Genomic DNA, 23,129 nt, shown 5'->3' with positions numbered 1-23,129 from the left:
TGACAAATGTTCTGGGTCTTGCTGATGAGCTTTTGATGACTAGTGGAACAATGCAACAATTGGTAACTCTGTGCTTCACTAAACAAACAAATAAAAAGCCTATCATTGTTTAAATCACAGCTTAAGAAAATGATATATTTTTATTTTGGCAACAATCTAGAACTCAAGAAATACTAAGGGTGGTTTAAAAGAGAACTCACGGGGTTTTTTGAACCAAAACGATATGGACATTCTTTAGACAAGCATTTATAATCTACCTGCCAGGCTTAAGTGATTCTGCCACCTCAGCCTCCCAGGTAGCTGGAACTACAGGAGTGTGCCACCACACCTGGCTAATTTTTGTATTTTTTGTAGGGATGGGGTCTTGCCATGTTGCCCAGGCTGGTCTCAAATGCCTGAGCTCAAGCAACTGGCCCGCCTTAGCCTCCCAAAGTGCTTGGATTACAGGCGTGAGCCACCATGTTTGGCTATGATTATTTTCATATAACTCCCCTTTGGAATACCTTAAAGGAATAAAATAAAAAGAAATGTAATTTATACATTGCATAAAGCACTCCTATATCCCATGTCATTCTTATTACGGCATAGCTCCAATGACTGTTTCATAAATTCTTTACAATGCAGGGAAAATTTTTGCTTCAGTGGAAAACTATGCGTTGTTCAGAGTACACCCTTCCAGGTTTTTGGATTCTGATTTTATGGGGCTCTGCTCTTTTCATAGCCTTTGAGCTATTTTACAACTCTGTAAGTTGTTGATAACTGGTAGCAATGCAAAATAATTCTTGCCTATGGACATGTAAATAAATTCTGCCTAGTGGAGGTTGAACTGACTTCCCTCCCACACTGTGGAAGGAGCCAGTTTTGCCTCTATTTGCACATTGATTTCAATATTCCTGATCTTTAAATGTTTCTGTCCTTTGGATAGTGCTTTGAACTGGTTTTAACATCTTACTGGTTTCTTCATTAATAATGACTTAAACTTTTAAAATGAGTTAAATGAATGTTTAGCATGTGTTAATTTTCTTTCTATGTAAGAATCATGATTTTACTTTATTTATTTGGAAAATTATTCTTTAATAATATAAAGAAAAAGTAGGTTTTGAGAGGAAAGTTTTGAAATTAGGTGACTATAATCTCTGATCTCACAGATGGTTACCAGTCTTCTTTTTCATTTCTTTGTGCTGCAATTTTATTCACAGCTTCCATTCATTTTTTAACCCCAGATAAACTTTTGAAGAGCGGAAAATCAATGCAACAATTGATCATTTAAATTTGTGCTCCACAAAGTTAAAACAAATAAACAAACTATCAATGTTTTAATCACCATTTTAAAAATGATATATATTTATATATTTTATATATTTTTAATTTTGGCAACAATCTAGCACTCAAGAAATATTAATGATGGTTTACAAGACAACTTAGTTGGCCTAAAAAGATGTGGAAAGCCTTTAGACAATAATAAGTAGTATTTATTTTCCATATAACTCTCTTTCGCAATTTAATATTTTTATTGAAACCATCCATAGGAACCATTACGTTGTATTAAAAAAAAACAATTCACAACATCCAATAAATAAAAAATGTATTTTTATACTTACTGTGCCCCACCAGAGAGCATCTGCATATGTAGAAAACTCTTTATTGGCATCCTTTTCCACCAGATAGACAAGGAAAGACGAAAAAATAAGAACCAAAAATCCTATGTACCAAGCTGTGATTAATTCCTAGATATAAAAGGAATGAAAGATTTTTAGAGGTGGGAAATCTTTGAAAAAGGAAAAAAGAATTCTATGAGGATTCTATTCACTTTACTACTTCTTGGATGTTTATGATGGCTCTTAAATAATCCATTGTACATCATGTCCCAAAATTGTTTTAACCATTTTCTGCAATGACTAAGTTTTCTTGTGACAGGTTTATTAACTATTACAGCGATCAATGAAAAAGTTTCAAAAATTGTGTTTTTAAATTCAGAGAGCAAATCTTACCTTGCTGTGAGCATAAACCACTGAACCCAGTAATTTCCAAGTGCCTCCCCTTCGGTCCATGCGCACCATGCGGAGGATCTGTAGGAAACGGAGACTTCTGAGTGCAGACGTGGCAAAAATATTACCCTGAGTTTTTGCAGAAACAACTGCTATTGAAGCGATAAGAACAATGGTATCTGAAAGAAACAGGTCGAAATAGCCACAGTTAGCACGACCAGGAATTTTTATTTACCAAAACAATATTTCCAAAAGGTTCACTTTGACCTATTTAAGGTACAGATAAACAGATCTTGATTCCCAGCTGCACCTAGTGCCACTTGGCCTCTGTGGCATTTCCGAAGACTGAAGAATGAAAAGGCAGAGAATGGGACCTACCTATTGCTGTAGTTCTGACCCTTTGGCCATTCTGCGCTTTACCTATGCAATTTTGAACAACGTATTATTTAACCTTCAACAGATTGGACAATGGTGTTCAAAAAACCCAAGGTTTCAGGGAGCCTTAAGACTTTGGGGCAACCTTTCACAATGTCTCTCGTTTCATCCTTTTTCCTGTGGCAAAAGGATCTCCTGCCTCAGCCCTCAACACCACAGCTTCTGGGTGATGTGACAGAGGCATGTAAATGTGTCCAGCTTGAAAGTGCTGTGAGATATAATCATTTCTCTTGTTTTCCTGCCAAATAAGTTTGCATTTCCTTTCCCCCAAAATTCCCTAATGTGGCACCTGCAACTTTGCATATTGTTTAACAAAGGCCTCAGCTAAGCTGAATACTCTATGCTTCCTGTATAGAGTATTCTTTAGACCTGTTCACCAATTATGTGTAAGTTTGCTGCATAATTAAATAATATTACATTTGTTATAATAGGGTATGTAAGTATAAACACTGTGCATTGCAAGGGAATGAATACTTAATGTTTGACATATTGACATTAGGCTGAAAAAATCTGCCTTTTCTAAGCAAAAAAGAGAAAAAGAGCATCTGATGAAAGCATAGAAAAGATAAAAGAAAACTTAATCACTCCATAAGTAAACATCTGAGTGATGGGAAGTAGGCTTTGAAGTGGGATAAGTGAAGTGGGGATGAATGGCCTCCTGTGGCAATTTTAATAAAAGTTAGCTTGACTTTAACATCCTCAAATACAATTTCCTTCCTGCTCCAAGTGGGTTGTGCATGACTGGGCTTCCACACTCCAAAGAGGAGTTCCATTTCAAGGATGTCACATTTGTAATGTTTCTGTCATCCTCTGGATTAACTGCTGTATAAGTGAGTATTCCTCATTCAGCTCATCCTTCTCCCTGCACTGAGAAAGGTCTGGTCTCCTGGTGTGGACTGAGAAGATCTTCTGAGCCTCTCTGCTGGTGCCCCTTTTTGGGTCAGTGCTTTGAGAGAGAGGGGGGGTCAGTTGTTGGCAGTGCAAGTTTCAGCCAAAGGGCTTCTTCCCCTCTCCTCTCCTTTCTTCCCTCTTTCCATCCTTTGACAGGGTCTCACTCTATCACCCAGGCTGGAGTGCACTGGCATGAGCTCTGCTCACTGCAACCTCTGTGTCCCACCTCAGCCTCCCAAGGAGCTAGGACTACAGGCATGCACCAACACGCCTGGCTAATTTTTGTATTTTTTTGTAGAGATGGGGTATTGCTATGTTGCCCAGGCTGGTCTCGAACTCCTGAGCTCACATCATCTGCCAGCCTTGGCCTCCCAAAGAGTTGAGATTACAGGTGTGAGCCACCGGTGTCCGCCCTGAAGGACTTTTTCCACCAGCTCTAAATGCATGTGCTTTTGTGGGTAAGTACCCAGAGAGCCAAAGAGAGTTACCACTCTTGGCAGCTGTTGGAAACAAGAAGGAACTAAATGTGTTGACACTGACACCAAAGACATATTTTAAGTGAATAAAGGCCAGTTGCAAAACAGTATGTACAATGTGATTTTATTTTAATAGAAATATATATTAGTATATGACTAGGAAAAAAATTTGAGACTAGGCTGGGCGCAGTGGCTCACACTTGTAATCCCAGCACTTTGGGAGGCCAAGGTGGGCGGATCATGAGGTCAGGAGATCGAGACCATCCTGGCCAACATGGTGAAACCCTGTCTCTACTAAAAATACAAAAATTAGCTGGGTGTGGTGGCACGTGCCTGTAATCCCAGCTACTTGGAAGGCTGAGGCATGAGAATCCCTTGAACCCAGGAGGCGGAGGTTGCAGTGAGCCAAGATCGTGCCACTGCACTCCAGCCTAGCGACAGAGCAAGACTGCGTCTCAAAAAAAAAAAAAAAAGTGAGACTATACGCTGATTATTACTATTAATTATTTCTAAAGGGAGTGAGCTGAAGTGAATATATGCATAAAGGGGCTTTTCACTTTGTAAATTATTAATTTCTGTATGTTGGAAGTTTATAACAACGACTATGTCTTTGCAATTAAAAAAACTTTATAAAAAGAGTTATGTGCAAACACATCTCTTGGTTTTCATCATGTTGAGGGATTTACTCCTGAGACTAGTGGTTTACAAACAGACATTACTTATATGACCCTGTTGGACATACATTTTGCTTTTATTTCATTGTAATCTTGCTTTCTCCCAAGTGTAGAAAGAAAAGAAAAAGATATACTACCTCATTTACTATGCTAAAATATTGGAAATACTAGAAATAAGTACATGGCTAGTAGGGGTGCAGAAAATACTACACTTAAAACTTACTATGTGCTTGGCATTTTCTTCAGTTCTAAGGTTTTTTTTTTTTTTTAATAAACATTACCTTATTTAATCCTTACAATGACTTTATGTGTTAGGTATCCCACAGATCCCATTTTACAGATGAAAAAAGCGAGGCAGAAAAAGCATATATTGTATTCATTTTTAAAAAAACTCAGCTATCGGTTTGTTAGACTACAGCACAAAAAGTATGCTATAAAGTTAGTTCATTAGAGAAAACCTAGAAAAGTAAGAGAAAGATTGTTGATTTGAGACAATTTAAAAAATTATGCACACAGTGAATCACAATCTAAATGTTTGAAGTTCCAAAATATGCAAAGGTAACCACAGATTTGATTTAATACCCTCATTGTAATTCAGATCAGACGAGAAAGTTAGAGTTCAGTAAACTGAAATCATAGATGAGCAACCAAATGGCAAACAGTGAGTGCAGTCACAAAAATGTTTCTGGTTGGGTTACAGTCATCCACTGGAATTTTGCTGTCAGTACCACCTAGACTATTTCCTAGGCTAGTATTTTACAAGTTATGAGTAGTCTTTATTTTTACTTCTATTTATGTATTTACTATTTTTGTGATCTACTATTTCATAGAATGGTGGTTCCACAGTGTTTTATCATTGTTTTGTTCACAATTGTATCCTGAGTACCTAGAACAGTGCCTGAAATATAGTAGGCACTCAATAAATATTTAAATAAGATAAATTAGATTAAAAAACACTTAAAAGTTGGCTGAGCTTTGTTCTCTTACCACATCAATGGCTTGTTGACTGGGATATCAACCTAAAATACTCAGGTTAATCAAAGGATCACTTCAATTTCTAGCACTGAATTCTATAGCAACATAATTGTTATAGCTATCATCCATTAGAGTTTATTTTAAAATCTCCCTATTATTTAAAGTATATGCATATATATTAAATTGGGGGAGTAGCTTAAGCTGTGCAGTTAGTTAATTGTCTAAAATATTTTTTGAAACATAGGAAGCTTGTTTTTAGTGAAGATAACACATTTTGGTGTAAGGTAGAAACTATGGACAGCCCTTGAAGCTCACTGGCTTCAGGTTCATTTGTTTATCCATTTATGTATTAAGTAGTTAATTGACTGTCAAGAATTATATTAGACACTTGTATTAAAAATGAATATTCAATCATTCATCTGACCATCCATCCATCACAATTATTGATCAAGTCCCTACTATGTACCAGGCACTGTGCTAAATGTTTTATATACATCAATGATTCCGAATGGGGACAATTTTGCCTCCCTGGGACATTTAGCAATGTCTGGAGACATTTTGCATTGTCATAGCTGGGAAGGGGGTTGCTACGAGCATCTAGTGGTAGAGACTAGGGTTGCTGCTAACCATCCTACAATGCCCAGGACAGCCTCCAGAACAAAGAATGACTCAGCCCCAAATGTCAATAGTGCCAAGGCTGAGAAACCCTGATGTACATTATTTTATTTAATTCTTCAAGCCAACCTATGTAGTAGATGATATTATAACCTTCTCTTTCTTATAAATGAAGAAATTGAGGCTCATAGTGGTCAAGTCACTAACATGCATAAGTGGTTGAGCTGGCCCTTACTTGACTCCAAAGCTGTGTCCTTAAGAATTATGGTATACCACTCCATCCAGGGTGGGATAGGGATGGAGGAGGAACAGAAAGGGGGAGGCTATGAAAGCAGGTGGATAATAAATCAGGAATAAATTGTTATCGCATAAAGCATTCAGAGAAGAGAAAAGTGCAGGGAGGAGAAAGCAGAAATAAAATGATGCTGAAAAACAGATGGTACTTTTATGGCTGCTTCAAGAGAAAATGGGGCTAGAGAAAGAAATAGAACTGCTAATAAACAAGGAGGAGCTCTAAGTCACATGAATAAAAAAAAAAGCATGTAATCCAGAACTCTTAAAATCTACCTCTCTCAAAGGAAACAAATTAGAACAAGTTGGGAAGTAGTGAAGAAAGAGCTATTGATTATAAGCAGCCCAGTAGAAATGTGAAATATAGGTTTACAAGGTATTAGGAAGTAGGTTCACTAATTTACTGCATCACTTAGAATGATTTACACATGAATTCTTGAAATTTGAGGTGACTGCAAAGATTTGAACAAAATAAATACCATAATGATATTTAAGACACATAAGGACTGTGAAAGAGCTTATTTTTAGATGCCACTGGAACTTTGCTCAAGTATTATTTAGTCAGCAAAATCAATATGAATTGATCACCATGGACCCTGTCTAAAAGGTGTTAGTCACTGAAATACCAAAAAGCCTTCATTATTTACATCCAAAGCTTCCCTATTGTGAACTCAAGGATTGGGTTAGAGCAAGGCCAATTGTACATCTGAACCTGATGGACTGTGTTTTGTTGCTACAATTACACTGCATAATGCATGTATTAGAAAGTATAACATGGCTCAATGTAAAATCACAATGAAAAGAACTAAATCATCTGGATCAAACAAAGCATGGTTGAACACTTTCAAACTAGTAGTTATAAGGACAGATAAACCCTCTCGAGGTAAGTAAGCCACAAAGAGGGTATATCTTGACTTCTAGAAACTGTCTGGAGACTTCAGGCTTTTAAAATTTTTGTAAATTAAAAGTTATTCTATAGTCTCAGAAAGTTTTCCCTAATAACTAACATAAATTTACCTCTTTCCCTTTAAACTCACTTCATCTTGTTCTCTCTGAGACAATCAGAAGTACGACAAATACAATGTTCTTGATGTTTATATCCCCCTCTCCCACCACATTTTTTTGTTCCAGTTTTTTGAATTATTCTAGTGGCCTCACTATAAGCTAAGTTTTGAATAATTTTAATAAAATATACACTTTAAAGTTATAAAGTAAAATATCAAAACAATACAAATGTATATAAGGTAGGACACTAATTTATTTAATTAACCAATTACTTATGCTATAGTTTGGATATTTGACCTCCAAATATCATGTTGAAATGTGATCCCCAGTGTTAGAGGTGAAGCCTAATGGGAGGTGTTTTGGTCATGGGGGAGGATCGCTCATGAATGGCTTGGTACCGTCCTTGAAGTAATGACTGAGTTCTGGCTCTGTAAGTTCCCTTAAGATTTGGTTGTTAAAAAGAAAATGGCACTTATGTCTTGCTTCATCTCTCGTCATGTGATCTCAGCACATGTTGGCCCCACTTCACCTTCTGCCATGAGTGGAGGCAGCCTGAGGTTCTCACCAGGAGCAGATGCAGGCACCATGCTTTTTGTACAGCCTGCAGAACTGTGAGCCACATAAACCTACTTTCTTTATGAATACCCAGCTTTGTGTATTCCTTTATTATAAAACAAATAGACTAAGACACTTATTAATGAATTTTTAGGTTACTTTTGGTTTTGCTATTAAAATGATGCTGAAACGAATAGTCCTGTACATTTATTTTTAGGATAAGGAATTTAAGGCTAAATTTCTTGAGACTGAATTCTTGGCATATTTTGATTTGTGATTGATATCAAGATGCCTTCAAAATGATGGTACCAATTCTCACTAACAATGTATGGAAACACTTATTTCTCTCTCCTTGCTAATAAAAAGGAATGCTAATAATAATAAAAATAGTACTAGTAAATCTAATGTTTACTGTTCACTATGTGATAGACATGGTTCTAAGCACACTCATTTATTACCTGGGATATTATAAGTCTTCAATCTTTGCAAATACAGTGGGAAAAACAAAACCATCCCCCTCCTGTTTTAGATGCCTGGATTTCATGTCATTTTTAAGTCACAGAAGTTAAGTTATCTAGAATGACTTTGTCCAACCAAGATTATAAAAATATTTTCCTATATTTTATTTTGGCACACTTACATCCTTATTTAGTTAATGAATTTATGTTTACTATTCAGAATAGTCTTTGTGGTAAAGGTAGCTAGCTGTCTACCACAGATATGTGCTTCCCTTCTAAGGTACAGCATTATCTCTGAGAAGTGGTTGCCCATCTAGAGGTCTCATTTCCCGGGACCCCTTGCTTCTGGGTGAGATGAGGTGACTAATTCTAGTTAATGAAGACGAATGGAAATGATGTATGCCACTTCCCAGTTGAGGGCAAGCACATATGGCTTATCACTTTCTCTTTTTCTATGTCAGTTGCAGTTTGGTACTAAGAATGCCCTTAGAAACCATGTGCTGAAGATGGCAGTGCTTTTGTCAGCCTGGGTTCCTGAATAACTGCATGGAACAGAGCCTTTACCATATACCCCAACCCCAAACAAAGAACACCTTCATTGGACTATTACACAAGTAAGAAATAAACTTCTATTTTATTTAGTTACTAGAATTTGGAGATTTATATAATAACTAAGCATTACTCTAACTTATACAATCATTAGTTTTAACGGAATTTTTGTTTGTCTCTGTGGTGAAGTAGAGAACTAATCTTACTTTTTATCCCATATGAAAGTCAATTTTCCCAATACCATCTAAATAAAAACTCTGTCATTCTCCAAATGTTTGCATATACTTATTGAGAAGCCTATTTTGGGATTCTATTATGTTTTATTGCCTATTCCTATATTCGTGTGACACAAATGTTATTCTTTTTCAAAGTAGTATCAATTATTGTAAACGTATTTATTTTTACCAAGTGAATTTCAGAATAAATGAATCAAGTTAAACAACAAAATTCTGATACAGACCTCATATTAAATTCACGGATTAACATCTCCTTCTTTATTGTCTTCCTCGTCTCATATCTACTGAGTGGTTTACTTTTGTTGATTCTGCTTCCATAGTATGTTTCATATCTAATTTTCTCTTTCCATTTATCCTGTCTCCTCCTTAGTTCAGGCTACGCTACTTCTCTCTTGGTCATCCCTACAATGTATGGCCTGGTTTTCACTCTCCTGTTTTTCCTTTCTCTAAACCACTTTGTATTCTACTACCACATGAAAATGTTAAGATGATTATACTACCTCTGTGATTTAAAAAAGGCCTTCCAATACATAGAAGAAAGATCAAATTCTGCTACCTGGCATTCAAAGTGCTCTATAAAATGCTGCTGCTCTGCCTAGAAGGCCCTTCTCCCTTCTTTACCTGGCTCACTTCTGCTTGCTTCTGGAACTCAGCACAGATATCAACCAGTCAAGGCCACTTGTGCCCAGAGGTCTGAGGTATGCTCCTGTCATAACACTTATTACCCATGATTATACTAGTAGTCTGTTTACTTGCTGGTCTCTTCTATAGTAAGCTATAAGAAACCAACTGCATGCAGACGTGCTTTTTTTTTTGTAACCTCAGTGACTAGCTCCGTACATATCATACTGTAGATGTTCAAAACTTATTTGATAGATACTTACCTGATAAGTTATTTGTTTGTAGTAATTAGGAAAGAAATAGAATACAATGTTATAATTTTAAAGGTCTTAAAAACAATATAGTTTAATCTCCCATATTTTGCAGTTGAGAAGTGAAGGCACGAACACACGAAAATTCCATACATTAAAAAAGAACTCTACACAGATTGAAATGCAAAAAACAAACCTGGAAAAAAATGGCAACATATATGATGATGAACAAAAGATTAATATCTTTAATATATAAACATAAAACACTAAGAAAACATGCTAGTAGAAAATTGGACAGAAGGCACATAGACGAATTTATCCTAGGAAGAAGAAACAATGACTAATTAATATATAAAAAAGTTCTTTACAATTTCTAGTTTTGAAATTTAAAATACTAGAAAGGTACCATTTTATTCTATCAAACTGACAAAGTTTAAAAAAATGAATTGTCAATGTTGGCAAGGCAGAGAAAAAAAGTTATTTGATGAAGATTTTCTGTAAGAATAAATTGGTATGGTATTTTTTGGGGGAGCAATTTGACATTATTTGACAAAACCATTAACAATGTGAATAACTTATTTCAGGAATTTAAACTGTAGGGATGTATGATAAAATTGTAGATGTTAACAAGTTTGCAGCAGCATACTTATTAAACTATTGTTTTTTTCTCCTCCCAGCTCATACCTAACACTATTAGTAGCAGTATAAAAAATGAGAACCAATCCAGATTTCTAATGAGGATGGATTAATAAAAAACAACATGCTATATCCCTTCCAGAGCATGGGCTGTGGTGCTCATGTGCCTCAGTTCCAATCCTGGCTCTGCTGCTTAATAGCTGGGTTACCTTGTTAAGTGACTGAATCTTTCTGTGCCTCAGTTTCTTTATCTGTAAAATGTAGATAATAAAGGTACCTATGTCATAGGGTTGCAAGAATTGAATAAGTTAACTGTGAAACATCTCAGTACAATACTAACATACATTTGAGCTAATTTATTATTACTATTATTATTACCACAAATGCGATACAGCCACAAAACATTATGTCTTAGAAGAATATTGTGAGATAAAATGTTTCTAAACATCATTATTTAAATAACTGATTACATAGCAGGATAGCAGGATTTCAGTTTTGCTCTCCCAAAATATTATGTATTATTATTATTATTTTTTGAGACGGAGTTTCCCTCTTTTTGCCCAGGCTAGAGGGCAATGGTGCAATCTCAGCTCACTGCAACCTCCACCTCTAGGATTCAAGTGTCTCTCCTGCCTCAGCCTCCCCAGTAGCTGGGATTACAGGCACCCGCCACCATGCCCAACTAATTTTTGTATTTCTAGTAGAGACGATGTTTCACCATGTTGGTCGAGCTGGTATCGAACTCCTGACCTCAAGTGATCCACCAGCCTTGGCCTCCCAAAGTGCTGGGATTACAGGTGTGAGTCATTGCACCTGGCCAGATTATGTATTCTTATAGTATATAGAAAAATAAATAGTATAAATACATACATTTGCATATTAATGGTGATTATCTTTAGGTGGTAAGATTCCATACAAATTTTAGTTATATATATATATATATATATATATATATATATATATATATATCTTTTGTCCAAATGATCTTTAATAGCCATGTATTGCTTTTGTAATGAGAAAAAAGAGAACCATAACTTATTTAAAAAAGAAGCTATGGCCTAGAAAGGTTAGTACATTGGCCAAGGTAATTTATTTAGTCAGTGGTGGGAAAACAGAAGAGAAATGGGCAACATTTATTGAGTACCTCTGATGTATGAGGCTGTGCGGGATGCTCAGTACACAGACTTTATTTCATTGTTTCTCCATAATAGCCCTTCAAGGAGGCACAGAGGTTATGAGTATAAACTTCATGTGCAACAGCCCAGGTATTTCTAGTTCTGTCCTTTCTTAGTTGTGTGACCTTGGGCCTATTAATCTTGCTGAGTCTTGGAGTCCTCACCTGCAAATAGGGAATAGATCCCTTTTTCTCACAGGGCTATTGGGATGATTAAATGAAATAATACATATAAAGCCTTTAGTCTGCCTTAGTGTGCCTGGTATCATGTTAACTCTCAATCTAAAAAAAAATGTTTTATAGATATACCTTTCCCTTCACTTTTCTAGATTAGTAATTTGATACTAAGAAAGTCCAAGAATCTTATCCAAAGTCATTTAGCTGGTAAATGGAGCCAAAAATCAAACTAATTTCTGTTTCCAGAGCACTTATATATTTTTTTCCCGTGTTTCTCTTTTGGTAGCTTTTATGTCATAGAAAGCCTAGTAAACAGGGATGTAGAAAGTCAAGCAAAGGCTTACATGTGATATTCCAAGAAGTAAAGTATTATCAAGAATAGGGAATATAACTACGTGCAAATAGTTGATATTCAGGTAAAATTTAGCGAAAATATTATAATTAACATGTTTTTTATATTTTAGGTTGTCCCAATGGGACAGCAGATTGAGACAGAGAGGTCAATCTGCCTTATCAATGTGAGCCCTTTTCTGCAGAAATTTATAATTTTTTTAGTGTCCCATGTATATCATGTGCCAGATGTTTTATTGCCAACAGAGCAGCAAGATAAGAAGGAATAGAAGTGTTCTGGTTCCATTATATTTGCTTATGTATACAGAAGGAACTTTCAAAAGAAACAGAGATGTAAAGCATGGAAGCATAAAGAACATTGAACTATGCCTAGTTTAATTATCTGTTCGCCATTAACTAGCTTTGTCACCACTTATCTCTCAGGGCTGGTTTCCATACCTTTAAAATAGTTGGATTGAACTGGCAAGTCTCAAGGATCCTTTCTAACTTTGAATTTCTCAAATTCTAAGTGGTACATTTTTTGTTTTGGATACTGGTTGAACGAGGAAGCATCAGAAGGAGTGTTTTGGATATGACTTTTCTCAAATTAAGTGTTAAGGCAATTTATTTATTCATTCATTAGTTCATTCGACAAATATTTTTTGTTGCATGTCTACTATAAGCCAAGCATGAGGTATAGAGCAGTGAATAAAAGAGAAGAGTTTTCTGCCCTCATGGAGCTTATGTTCTCCTGGGGTAGGCTGATGTTAAAGCAATAAACAAGTACAGAATATAATGTTAGGTAGTGACAAAAACCCTGGGGAAATGCAGAGCAGGATGAGGGTGGAGTCACAGAGGGGCGGGTGCTCTATCTTAATGTGAAGTTCCAAGAAGTAAAGTATTATTAAGAATAGGGAATATAACTACTTGCAAATGGTTGATATTCAGGTAAAATTTAGCAAACATCTTATAATTAACATGTTTTTAATATTTTAGTTTTTATTTTATTTTTGAGACAGTCTCTGTCACCCAGGCTGGAGTGCAATGGCATGATCTCAGCTCACTGCAACCTCCGCCTCTCGGGTTCAAGCGATTTTCCTGCCTCAGCTTCCCAAGTAGCTGGGATTACAGGTGTGCACCACCACTCCAGGCTAATTTTGTATTTTTGGGAGAGATGGGGTTTCACCATGTTGGCCAGGCTGGTCTCGAACTCCTGACCTCAAGTGATCCACCCACCTTGGCCTCCCAAAGTGCTGGGATTATAGGCGTGAGCCACTGAGCCCGGCCGTTTTTAGTATTTTCGGTTGTCTCAATGGGAAAGCATCTCAGAGGAGCCATGACCCAACGAAGTGAAGGGGTGACCGTGATCATATCTAAGGAAAAATGGTTCCAGGCAAAAAAATATAAAAAGACCTTGAGGTGGAAGTGTGTTCAGTGTGTTCAAGGGAAGGCAAGGAGATCAAGTTAGCTTGAGCGGAGTGAGAGAAGGCTCCAGCCAGATCACGACAGCTTTGGGAATAGCTTTAGATGTCCTTCTAAGTATTATATGATAGCGGCAGGGAAAGGGTTTTTGGCAGAGTGCAGGATCAGATGTGTATTTCACAAGATCATTTTGGTTACCTTTGGGAAACCAACCAGGAAGAGGCTGGATGCCAGAAAGGAAGCCAGATGTCAGAGAGGAAGCTGGAAGGCCAGGTAAGAAGCCACTGCTGTGGTCTGGACAAAGGGTGAGAGCAGCATTACAAGAGTGAGGTTAAAGTCAGGAGGAGCTGTAAAGGAGCTGGATTTGGTGCACATTGTGAAGGTGGAGAGGCCAAGACTTGCTGAAGGACTGACTGTGGGATGAGACAAACGAGGGAGTCTAAGGCTGACTTCAGGGTTTTTGGTCTAAGCAATCAGGTGAATAAAGTGCTATTTACTAAGCTGGGGAAATACCACTGGGGATAGGTGAGGAGCACTATTTGAAGGGCAGAACTACTTGTCCGTTATGGCCATGTTAATTTTGAGATGGCTAGTAGGCATTTGGTAGATGGTGAATGGGGCTGGAGTCTGGGGGAAAGGTCAGGGATGCAGAGTCAGGCAGTAGATTTTTTTTTTTTTCTCATGCTACAGGACGAATCCCTTGCAATATCAGTAACCTACTGAAACAAATTGCTTCAAAGTGTGATCACAAACATTTAATTTCAGATGTGGGTTACAGACTGAAGGAGGTAAGGAAGCTGTGTTTCTGTATTTATAAAACAGGAAAGAAGCATTTGTCCCCTGAGAGTCATCATGAATGAGTAGGAGGCACATCCTATTTAAGGCATAGTCTAGTATCTTGAGTAAATTACCTAGGTGTAATTCCATCAGTTTTCAATAAATCGAAGAGATGAAAAGTCATGTGTATTTTCTGATGCTTTAGAACATGGTTTAGGGCAATGATACAGTGGCTTTATATTATATTCTTTTATATAGAAAGTTTGAGACAGCTTTTAGGAACAGCAATTTTGCACGTTGATACCATCAGATGTTTAAAATTTTCTTCAGTACCTATTTTCACACCTACCAAATGACAAAGCTGCAGTCAGTTTTGATTTCTAAACAGAACCCCATACCAGTATTTGACTGCAGATTAAAAAAAAAAAGATTTGGATTCCACCAATGAATAATCAAATTTGAAACATCTGCTGGAAATCCCAACATCCTATGATGAAATTCCATGCTTGGATATCTTATTCAAGGTCATAGCTTGAATATTTAAACATCAACAGCCAAACAATGGCATTATGGGTTTAAATTTACAGAGCAAAACTACAATACCTAATTTATAATACTCCCTTTTTGCACTTACTCTAAGCAGTTAAATGATATGGACCCTCTGAAACTTAGCAGCCAGTTATGTTTAGTAGTGTTGGGATATGTAATTTTTCTTTAAGAAACTTGATACTTATTTTCAGATGACATACAGATTATGATTAATCATCACCTACTGCTAAAAGTTTTTGAAAGGATATCTTCAGGAAGTTCTTTGAATAGACTGTGTTACTCGGATGTTACAATGGAGATGCCACTTGAGATGAAACGTCACTTAGCAAAGGACATTTATGGATGGGAATTCATTCTAAGTATTATCTGGGAAAATTTAGAATTACCTGGTTCACCTGGCTCTCAATATTTTTCAATGCACAATTTCCTATTTTTGGAAATATGAAATGGATACAGTTTAGGCACTTGGCTAATCCTTAGGGATAAACATTGGGGTGTGAAAATAGACTTTTCCTCCTGTGAAGAATAAAAAGATAGCACTTTAAAGAGTGAATTTGAGTAAATATAAGCCAAGAATAAATACCTGACATTCATTATAATTTTGAAAATCTTGCTTGTTGCCATGTGTAGATCTATTATATCTATCTATCTATCTATCTATCTATCTATCTATCTATCTATCATCTATCTATCTATCTATCTATCTATCTATCTATCATCTATCTATCTATCTATCATCTATCTATCTATCATCTATCTGTATTTCAGTGGGATTATTAACCAAACAGGTCACATATAATTATGCATCTAACTCCCATCTTTACTTATAAAATCCTTACCAAAATTTTCCCTCACTGGCACTAGATTAGAGCAGTTTTTGGAACTTTCTAATTTCATATTTACTTTTATGTATTGCTGTTTATGAACGCTGCAAAGTGTATTGCTGCTCTTATCTGTGCTTAAAAGGAAAGAAAGAGTGTCCCAGAGAAGCTTGTACAAGATAATGCGATAAATTACTTCCAGAAACAGGATCAGAATTCATGGCAACCAACTCCTGAAGCTGCAGGTCAGGCGGTGAAACACATTGTCTTATAACAAATCCTAAAGCTATGAGGAAAAATCCTCCTTCGGACTCACTTTCTTTTCATTATCAATTCCTTTCCTACTGTCATGAGCTTTTTGAATAAGACACGCTCTGTTTAAAGGAGAACAAAAACAAGGTTTATTGAAAACATGTGATACTACAACTTAGGAATCTTTTATAAGGAGACTGGAGATGGCCTAATCGAGTTCAATACCATTCAGGAGCTGGATATTTTCCCATTAACTAAATATGGAAGAGTATAAAGAAAGCATAATTCAAAAATAGTTTCAGATGTGCACATTTTGACATTGTGACCTGTAAATACTCCAGAAAACCACAGAAACTTGATAAGAGATGGATTCTTAAGTCACACAATGGCAAATGTCCTAAGGATTAGCTACAGTACTTTGATCTCCAAATTCCAAGCACAGATTTGGAGTCTGTGGTAGGGGCTAAAATCAAATATTTAAAACATTTTGCAAAAGGCAGAAGTAAAATAATTGAGAAAAAGGCAATATGGGAGTAGACAAGCCTCCTGTAAAAGAACCTACAATTCAAAGCATGCATGCAAATTAAGCACTTTATTAAAAAATATAATCATGTTCCCATGACCAAATAAAATAATTGAAGCAATTAGATTAAAAAATGCAGGCAAAAAATATCCTTTTGAAAACCTCTGATAACTGAGGCAAAGGGGCTATTTTTCACCTTGCATTGCTTGAATAATTGCCACATTTTTTTTCTCTATTTGCTCATGTTGACTGTGTTGTTTTTACTTTGTGTGTGTAGGGGTTGTGATGGGGGCCGGGGGGATGACGCTTCTCATGTGACTGTTTACTAGCTTGCAGTTTTCTCAATTTTTTATTCATTCAATACACATTCATTGTGGCCAGAAACTTCTAGGACCTGGGCATATAATATTAAAGGGCATGGCTGGTGTGGACCAGATGGATGCCTTCTGTCTGCACAAGGCTGAAAGCATGGTTTGCATAGAAGACGCTGAATCGAGTAACCACAATCATGAGTGATGAATATTATGACAGAAGAAATACAAGGAGCACATTGCAGGGACAATTAACTTAGTTAAGAGGCCAGGGAAGCCTTCTGGGAGAAACATAGATGAAGCCATAATGAACAACCAGTCTACAAGAAAGCTTCAAAAGCCCTTCTAATTAAACCACATCCTTTAGGTACCATACATACCATTCCTGAAATTACTTATTATATCTAAGGACTCCAGACTCAAAAAGTACCTGTCTTGGTTCTTGCTCCTTCCATTTACCTCTTAAAATAAAATGCATTCTTATTTAAGATACACAGACTCTCAAATTCTAGGAATGCCTTATTGAAGATATTTTGAGGAAAAATAATAAACAAAAACATACAAAGATGGTCTGAGTTGATAATTTTTTTCTGATTGTAGGTATCGATTCTAGGATTGATTAGAGGCTTCACTGAACACATCACTTTTATGATTCTGTTTGCTACCACTAAGAGTTATGGAGTATTGATTAAACACCAGGCATTAAGCTAAGCACTTTACATGTATCATCTCATTGCATCTTCTTGGGCAATCCTTTGAAAAGTTACAACTAAAATTCTAAGTTTAAAATTAAGGAAATATATGAAGAGCAAATTAAGGCAAATAATAAAGCACCTTTTAGAACAGAGTTTTTCGTGAGTTAAAAATGCCATTCTATGTTACTTCAGCCTAGAACTGAGGAGGTGCACATGGAAATCCTATGGTAAATTATCTTTGGCATTGTCCCTCTTTGCAATGACAAAAGTGCCTGGAGTGTGAGTAGATTCGGAACAACTGTACATAATATGAGCCCATTAACCCATCCAAATATTGCTATACAAAAATAATAATAGTCAACATCTAAACTGTACTTCATCTGTGCCAGGCAATAATTCTTTTAATTTAGTTTTTGAATAGTTAACATATTTATATTTTAAACATTAAAATGACATAAAAAGGTAAATGCTGAAAAATCTTACTCCTACCCGTTTCCATTCATGCTGTCCTCATTCGCTATCCTCAGTTAAACATTTTTATTCTCTTCTTTTTGTAAAAATTATTTCAATGTTTCTTTATACAAACACAAGCAATATGAAAGTCAACTTTTATTTTTCTCCTTTCTTACACAAAAGTAGCACACTATATATGCAGTATTACATTTCATTTTTCTTTTATTTCATATATCTTGGGATTCTTCTGTAGCTGTGCAGAAAGGTCTTCCACTGTATTTTATTGTTTGGATTTACAATAGTTTATTCAGCTATAGTGAACATTTACTACAAATTGATGAAATTATTAGGAAGTAGACTTCCTGGGTCAAAGAGTAAATGCTTAAGTAATTTTGGTAGATATTGACACTCTTCCATAAGGGTGATACCCCTTTGCACTCCTGTGGCATGTGAGTGCCTATTTCCTTGCAGTCTCATCAATAAAGTGTGTGGTCAAACTGCAGATTTTTGCCAATCTGATAGGTGAGAGAATGCTTTCATTTGCATTTCTTTTTTATGAGTGAGACTGGGTATGTTTAAGAGGTATATATGTATTTCTTATTCTGTGACCAGTCTGTTCATATCCATTTTATTTTCTGTTAGGTTGTTGGGTTTTTCTTGATTTCTAGAGCTCCTTATAATTTAAGGTGATTAGTTTCTATTTTTTAGTAGGAGTTGTAAATATTTTTCCACATTTGTCTTTTGACGTTGCTGTTTAGTTTATCATACAGTATTCTTTGATTTTATGTATTCTATCAATATTTTCTCCTATGACTTTTGTATTTTTAGTTATAATTAGAAAATCTTTCCAGATTCCAAGGTTCTAAGAGAGTTTACCAATTTCTTCTGCCCAGTATTTTATGGTCTTATTTAATTTAAATCTTTGATTTATTTGGAGTTTATCTTGGAATCTGGTAAGATAGATATGGATACAGCTTTAATTTTTTCCAAATGAGTAATTAATTATTCCAGCATTTCTTACAACCAGAGTGAGAATGAAGTTGGGATTCATATATTTTGGCCACACAGGGTTGTTTCTAACTTTGAGAAAATAATGTTTTTGTTGGTTATGGTGGAAGATCCAAGGGGAGACATTTGGCAGAGTCTTGGAGGAAAAGTAGTCTTAGAGAATAGTTTTAAGAATAGGGCAATTTCTGAGAGGTGTTGAATTAAGGAGAACAAACGACTTCTTTTTAGATCACATTAGAACCATGAATATTGGACCCAACTCTCTATAAAGCACCACTGGGTCTTGGTGGCAATTTTAAATATTTTATTCCATTGGAGTAGTACTTTAAGGCTCTAACTAATGTCATTATCTGTATCTTTTAGCAGGAAAGTATAATTAGTATTGGTCTCAGTAAAGTTTGCTTGAATAAGGACTTTCTAAAAATTAAAGTTAGATTTAAAAAATGGTCCTTCAGGAATTTGTACAGTATTGGCTTTTTACATTAATTGGTCTCTTTATACTTCATCTATGTAAACATAATACTTACATTCATTTATCACAGTATGAAGAACTGCTCCTTAATGGGCAATACTTTCATTTGTTTCTTGACCCAAGTGGTAAAATATACATTTCGTTAACTTCTGCTTGTTAAAAAAATTTTCATAGAAAAACAGAAAAAGCAGAAACATGATTTCTATGAAAATAAGATGTCATTTAAGACAGCATGGTCTAATTTAATGCTATGAAACATTCTAGGCATTTCAACATTTTATTTTATGATTTATTTTTAAACTTTTATTTCAGGTTCTGTGGTACATGTGCAGGTTTGTTATATAGGTGAATTGTATATTATGGGGGTTTGATGTTCAGATTATTTCATCACGCAGGTAAAAAGCATAGTACCTGATAGGTAGTTTTTTTATGCTCTCCCTCCTCCCACTTTCCATCCTCAAGTAGGCTTACGCGTCTGTTGTTCTCTTGTTTGTGACCATATAACTCAATGCTTAGCTCTCACTTGTAAGTGAGAACATGTGTATTTGGTTTTCTGTTCCTGTGTCAGTTCGCTTAGGTGAATGGCCTCCAGCCTCATCCATGTTGTTGCAAAAGACATGATCTTGTTCTTTTTTATGGCTGTGTAGTATTTATGGTGTATATGTACCACATTTTCTTTATCCAATCCACCATCAATGGGCATGTAGGTTGATTTCATGTCTTTGCTATTGTGAATAGTACTGAGATGAATATATGAGTGCATATGTCTTTAAGGTAGAATGAGTTACATTCCTTTGAGAATAAACCCAATAGTGAGATTACTGGGTCAAATGGTAATTCCATTTTGAGTTCTTTGAGAAATTGCCAAACGGCTTTCCACACCGGCTGAACTAATTTACATTCCCACCAGCAGTATATAAGCATTCCTTTTTCTCCATAACCTTGCCAGCATCTGTTATTTTTTGACTTTTTAGTAATAGCCATTCTGACTTTTGTGAGATGGTATCTTATTGTGGTTTTGATTTGCATTTCTCTAAAGATTAGTAATGTTGAGCATTTTTTTATATGCTTCTTGGCCACGTGTATGTCTTCTTTTACAAGTGTCTGTTCAAGGACTTTGCCCATTTTTTAATGGTGTTGTTTGTTTTTTTGCTTATAAATTTGTTTAAATTCCTTACAGATTCCGGATAATAGACCTTTGTCAGATGCATAGTTTGCAAATATTTTCTCCTATTCTGTAGGTTGTCTGTTCACTCTGTTGATAGTTTCTTTTGCTGTGCAGAAGCTGTTTAGTTTAATTAGATCCCTTTAGTTTAATTGACAAAATTAGTCAATTTTTGTTTTTGCTGCAATCGCTTTTGTCTTTGTCATAAAATCTTTGCCAGGTCCTATATGTCCAGAGTGGTATTTCCCAGGTCATCTTCCAGGGTTTTTATAGTTTTAGGTTTGTTTTTTTTTGAGACGGAGTCTCGCTGTCGCCCAGGCTGGAGTGCAGTGGCAGCATCTCGGCTCACTGCAGCCTCCGCCCCCCGGGGTTCACGCCATTCTCCTGCCTCAGCCTCCCGAGTAGCTGGGACTACAGGTGCCCGCCACCTCGCCCAGCTAATTTTTTGTAATTTTAGTAGAGATGGCGTTTCACCGTGTTAGCCAGGATGGTCTCGATCTCCTGACCTCGTGATCCGCCTGCCTCGGCCTCCCAAAGTGCTGGAATTACAGGCGTGAGCCACCGTGCCCGGCCAGTTTTAGGTTTTATGTTTAAGCCTTTAACCCATCTTGAGTTGATTTTTGTATATGGTATAAACAAGGGGTCCAATTTCAATCTTCTGCATATGGCTAGCCAGTTATCCCAGCACCATTTATGGAATAGGAATTTCTTTTCCCATTGCTTGTTTTTGTTAGGTTTGTTTAAGATCAAATGGTTTGTGTGTGGCATTATTTCTGGGCTATCTCTTCTGTTCCATTGGTCTATGTGTTTTGTACCAGTACCATGCTGTTGTGGTTACTGTAGCCTTGTAATATAGATTGAAGTCACACAATGTGATACTTCTGGCTTTGTTGTTTTTGCTTAGAATTGCCTTGGCTATTCAGGCTTTTTTTTGGTTTCATACAAATTTTTAAATAATTTTTTTTTCTAATTCTGTGAAGAACTGGTAGTTTGATAGGAATAGCACTGAATCTGTAAATTGCTTTGGGCAATATGGCCATTTTAACAATATTGCTTCTTCCTATCCATGAGCATGGAATGCTTTTCCTTTTATTTATATCATCTCAGATTACTTTGAGCAGTGTTTTATAATGCTTGTTGTAGAGATCTTTCACCTACCTGGTTAGCTGTATTTCTATGTATTTTATTCATTTTTTAAATTTTTATTTATTTATTTATTTTTTTACTATACTTTAAGTTCTAAGGTACATGTGCACAATGTGCAGATTTGTTACACATGTATACATGTGCCATGTTGGTGTGCTGCACCCATTAACTTGTCATTTACATTAGGTATATCTCCTAATGCTATCCCTCCCCCCCTTCCCCCCACCCCATGACAGGCCCCAGTGTGTGATGTTCCCCACCCTGCATCCAAGTGTTCTCATTGTTCAATTCCCACCTATGAGTGAGAACATGTGGTGTTTGGTTTTCTGTCCTTGTGATAGTTTGCTGAGAATGATGGTTTCCAGCTTCATCCATGTCCCTGCAAAGGACATGAACTCATCCTTTTTTATGGCTGCATAGTATTCCATGGTGTATACGTGCCACATTTTCTTAATCCAGTCTATCATTGATGGACTTTTGGGTTGGTTCTAAGTCTTTGCTATTGTGAATAGTGCTGCAATAAACATACATGTGCATGTGTCTTTATAGCAGCATGATTTATAATCCTTTGAGTATATACCCAGTAATGGGATGGCTGGGTCAAATGGTATTTCTAGTTCTAGATCCTTAAGGAATCACCACACTGTCTTCCACAATGGTTGAACTAGTTTACAGTCCCACCAAGAGTGTAAAAATGTTCCTATTTCTCCACATCCTCTCCAGCACCTGTTGTTTCCTGACTTTTTAATGATCACCATTCTAACTGGTGTGCATGGGATGGCATTCTTTTTTTTATTGCACATCACTCCTTTATTATACTGATCTGGAAAAAGGATTTAGTACAGTTATGCTCAAATGAACACTAGACCTATGTGGCAGGGCCAAGCAACTGCAACATGATTCAGAAATCAGTGAAAAACACACTTGGAGAGGACCAAGAGGCATTTCACTGCCATGAAACAAGGCAGGGAGGGATTCTAAAACACACAGCATGAAGCACTCCTGCCCCTCAAAGGTCAAGGAGCTTACCCCATATTGGTATGAGGAATGGCTTATGTTCTGATGACCACATGTGGGACTATTTCAACCACCACGAGAAACCCTTAGAAGGGTTATTGTTTTGTATTATTTATATACACTATACTTTTTTTTTTTTAAATAAAAGTAAATGTAACACATAAACTAAATTCAGGATTGA

General features: G+C 36.2%; 1 protein-coding gene across 9 annotated transcripts in view, besides 1 other annotated feature; it reads right to left on the bottom strand.

Annotated features, from left to right (window-relative positions):
- Nucleotides 1-23,129, bottom strand: part of KCNQ5 (potassium voltage-gated channel subfamily Q member 5) — a 576,790-nt gene that overhangs the window by 119,365 nt on the left and 434,296 nt on the right. For all 9 annotated transcript variants that reach the window (NM_001160133.2, NM_019842.4, NM_001160134.2 and 6 more), the window contains exons 4-5: nt 1,992-2,167; nt 1,602-1,727 (exon numbers count right to left, since the gene is read on the bottom strand). In NM_001160133.2, the coding sequence (NP_001153605.1) occupies nt 1,602-1,727; nt 1,992-2,167 (302 nt within the window). The remainder of the gene's footprint in view (nt 1-1,601; nt 1,728-1,991; nt 2,168-23,129) is intronic.
- Nucleotides 2,486-3,418: an enhancer, noted in NCBI's record as "OCT4-NANOG hESC enhancer chr6:73785794-73786726 (GRCh37/hg19 assembly coordinates)". NCBI's record gives its function as "activates a minimal SCP1, AML or CMV promoter by ChIP-STARR-seq in naive H9 embryonic stem cells {active_cell/tissue: H9 hESC(naive)}" and the evidence as "EXISTENCE:reporter gene assay evidence [ECO:0000049][PMID:30033119]".

This window comes from Homo sapiens, chromosome 6, assembly GCF_000001405.40.
Source record: "Homo sapiens chromosome 6, GRCh38.p14 Primary Assembly".
Lineage (NCBI taxonomy): Eukaryota > Metazoa > Chordata > Mammalia > Primates > Hominidae > Homo > Homo sapiens.
Note: the sequence above shows the minus strand (reverse complement) of the source record. Positions and strands in the feature narration are given on the sequence as shown.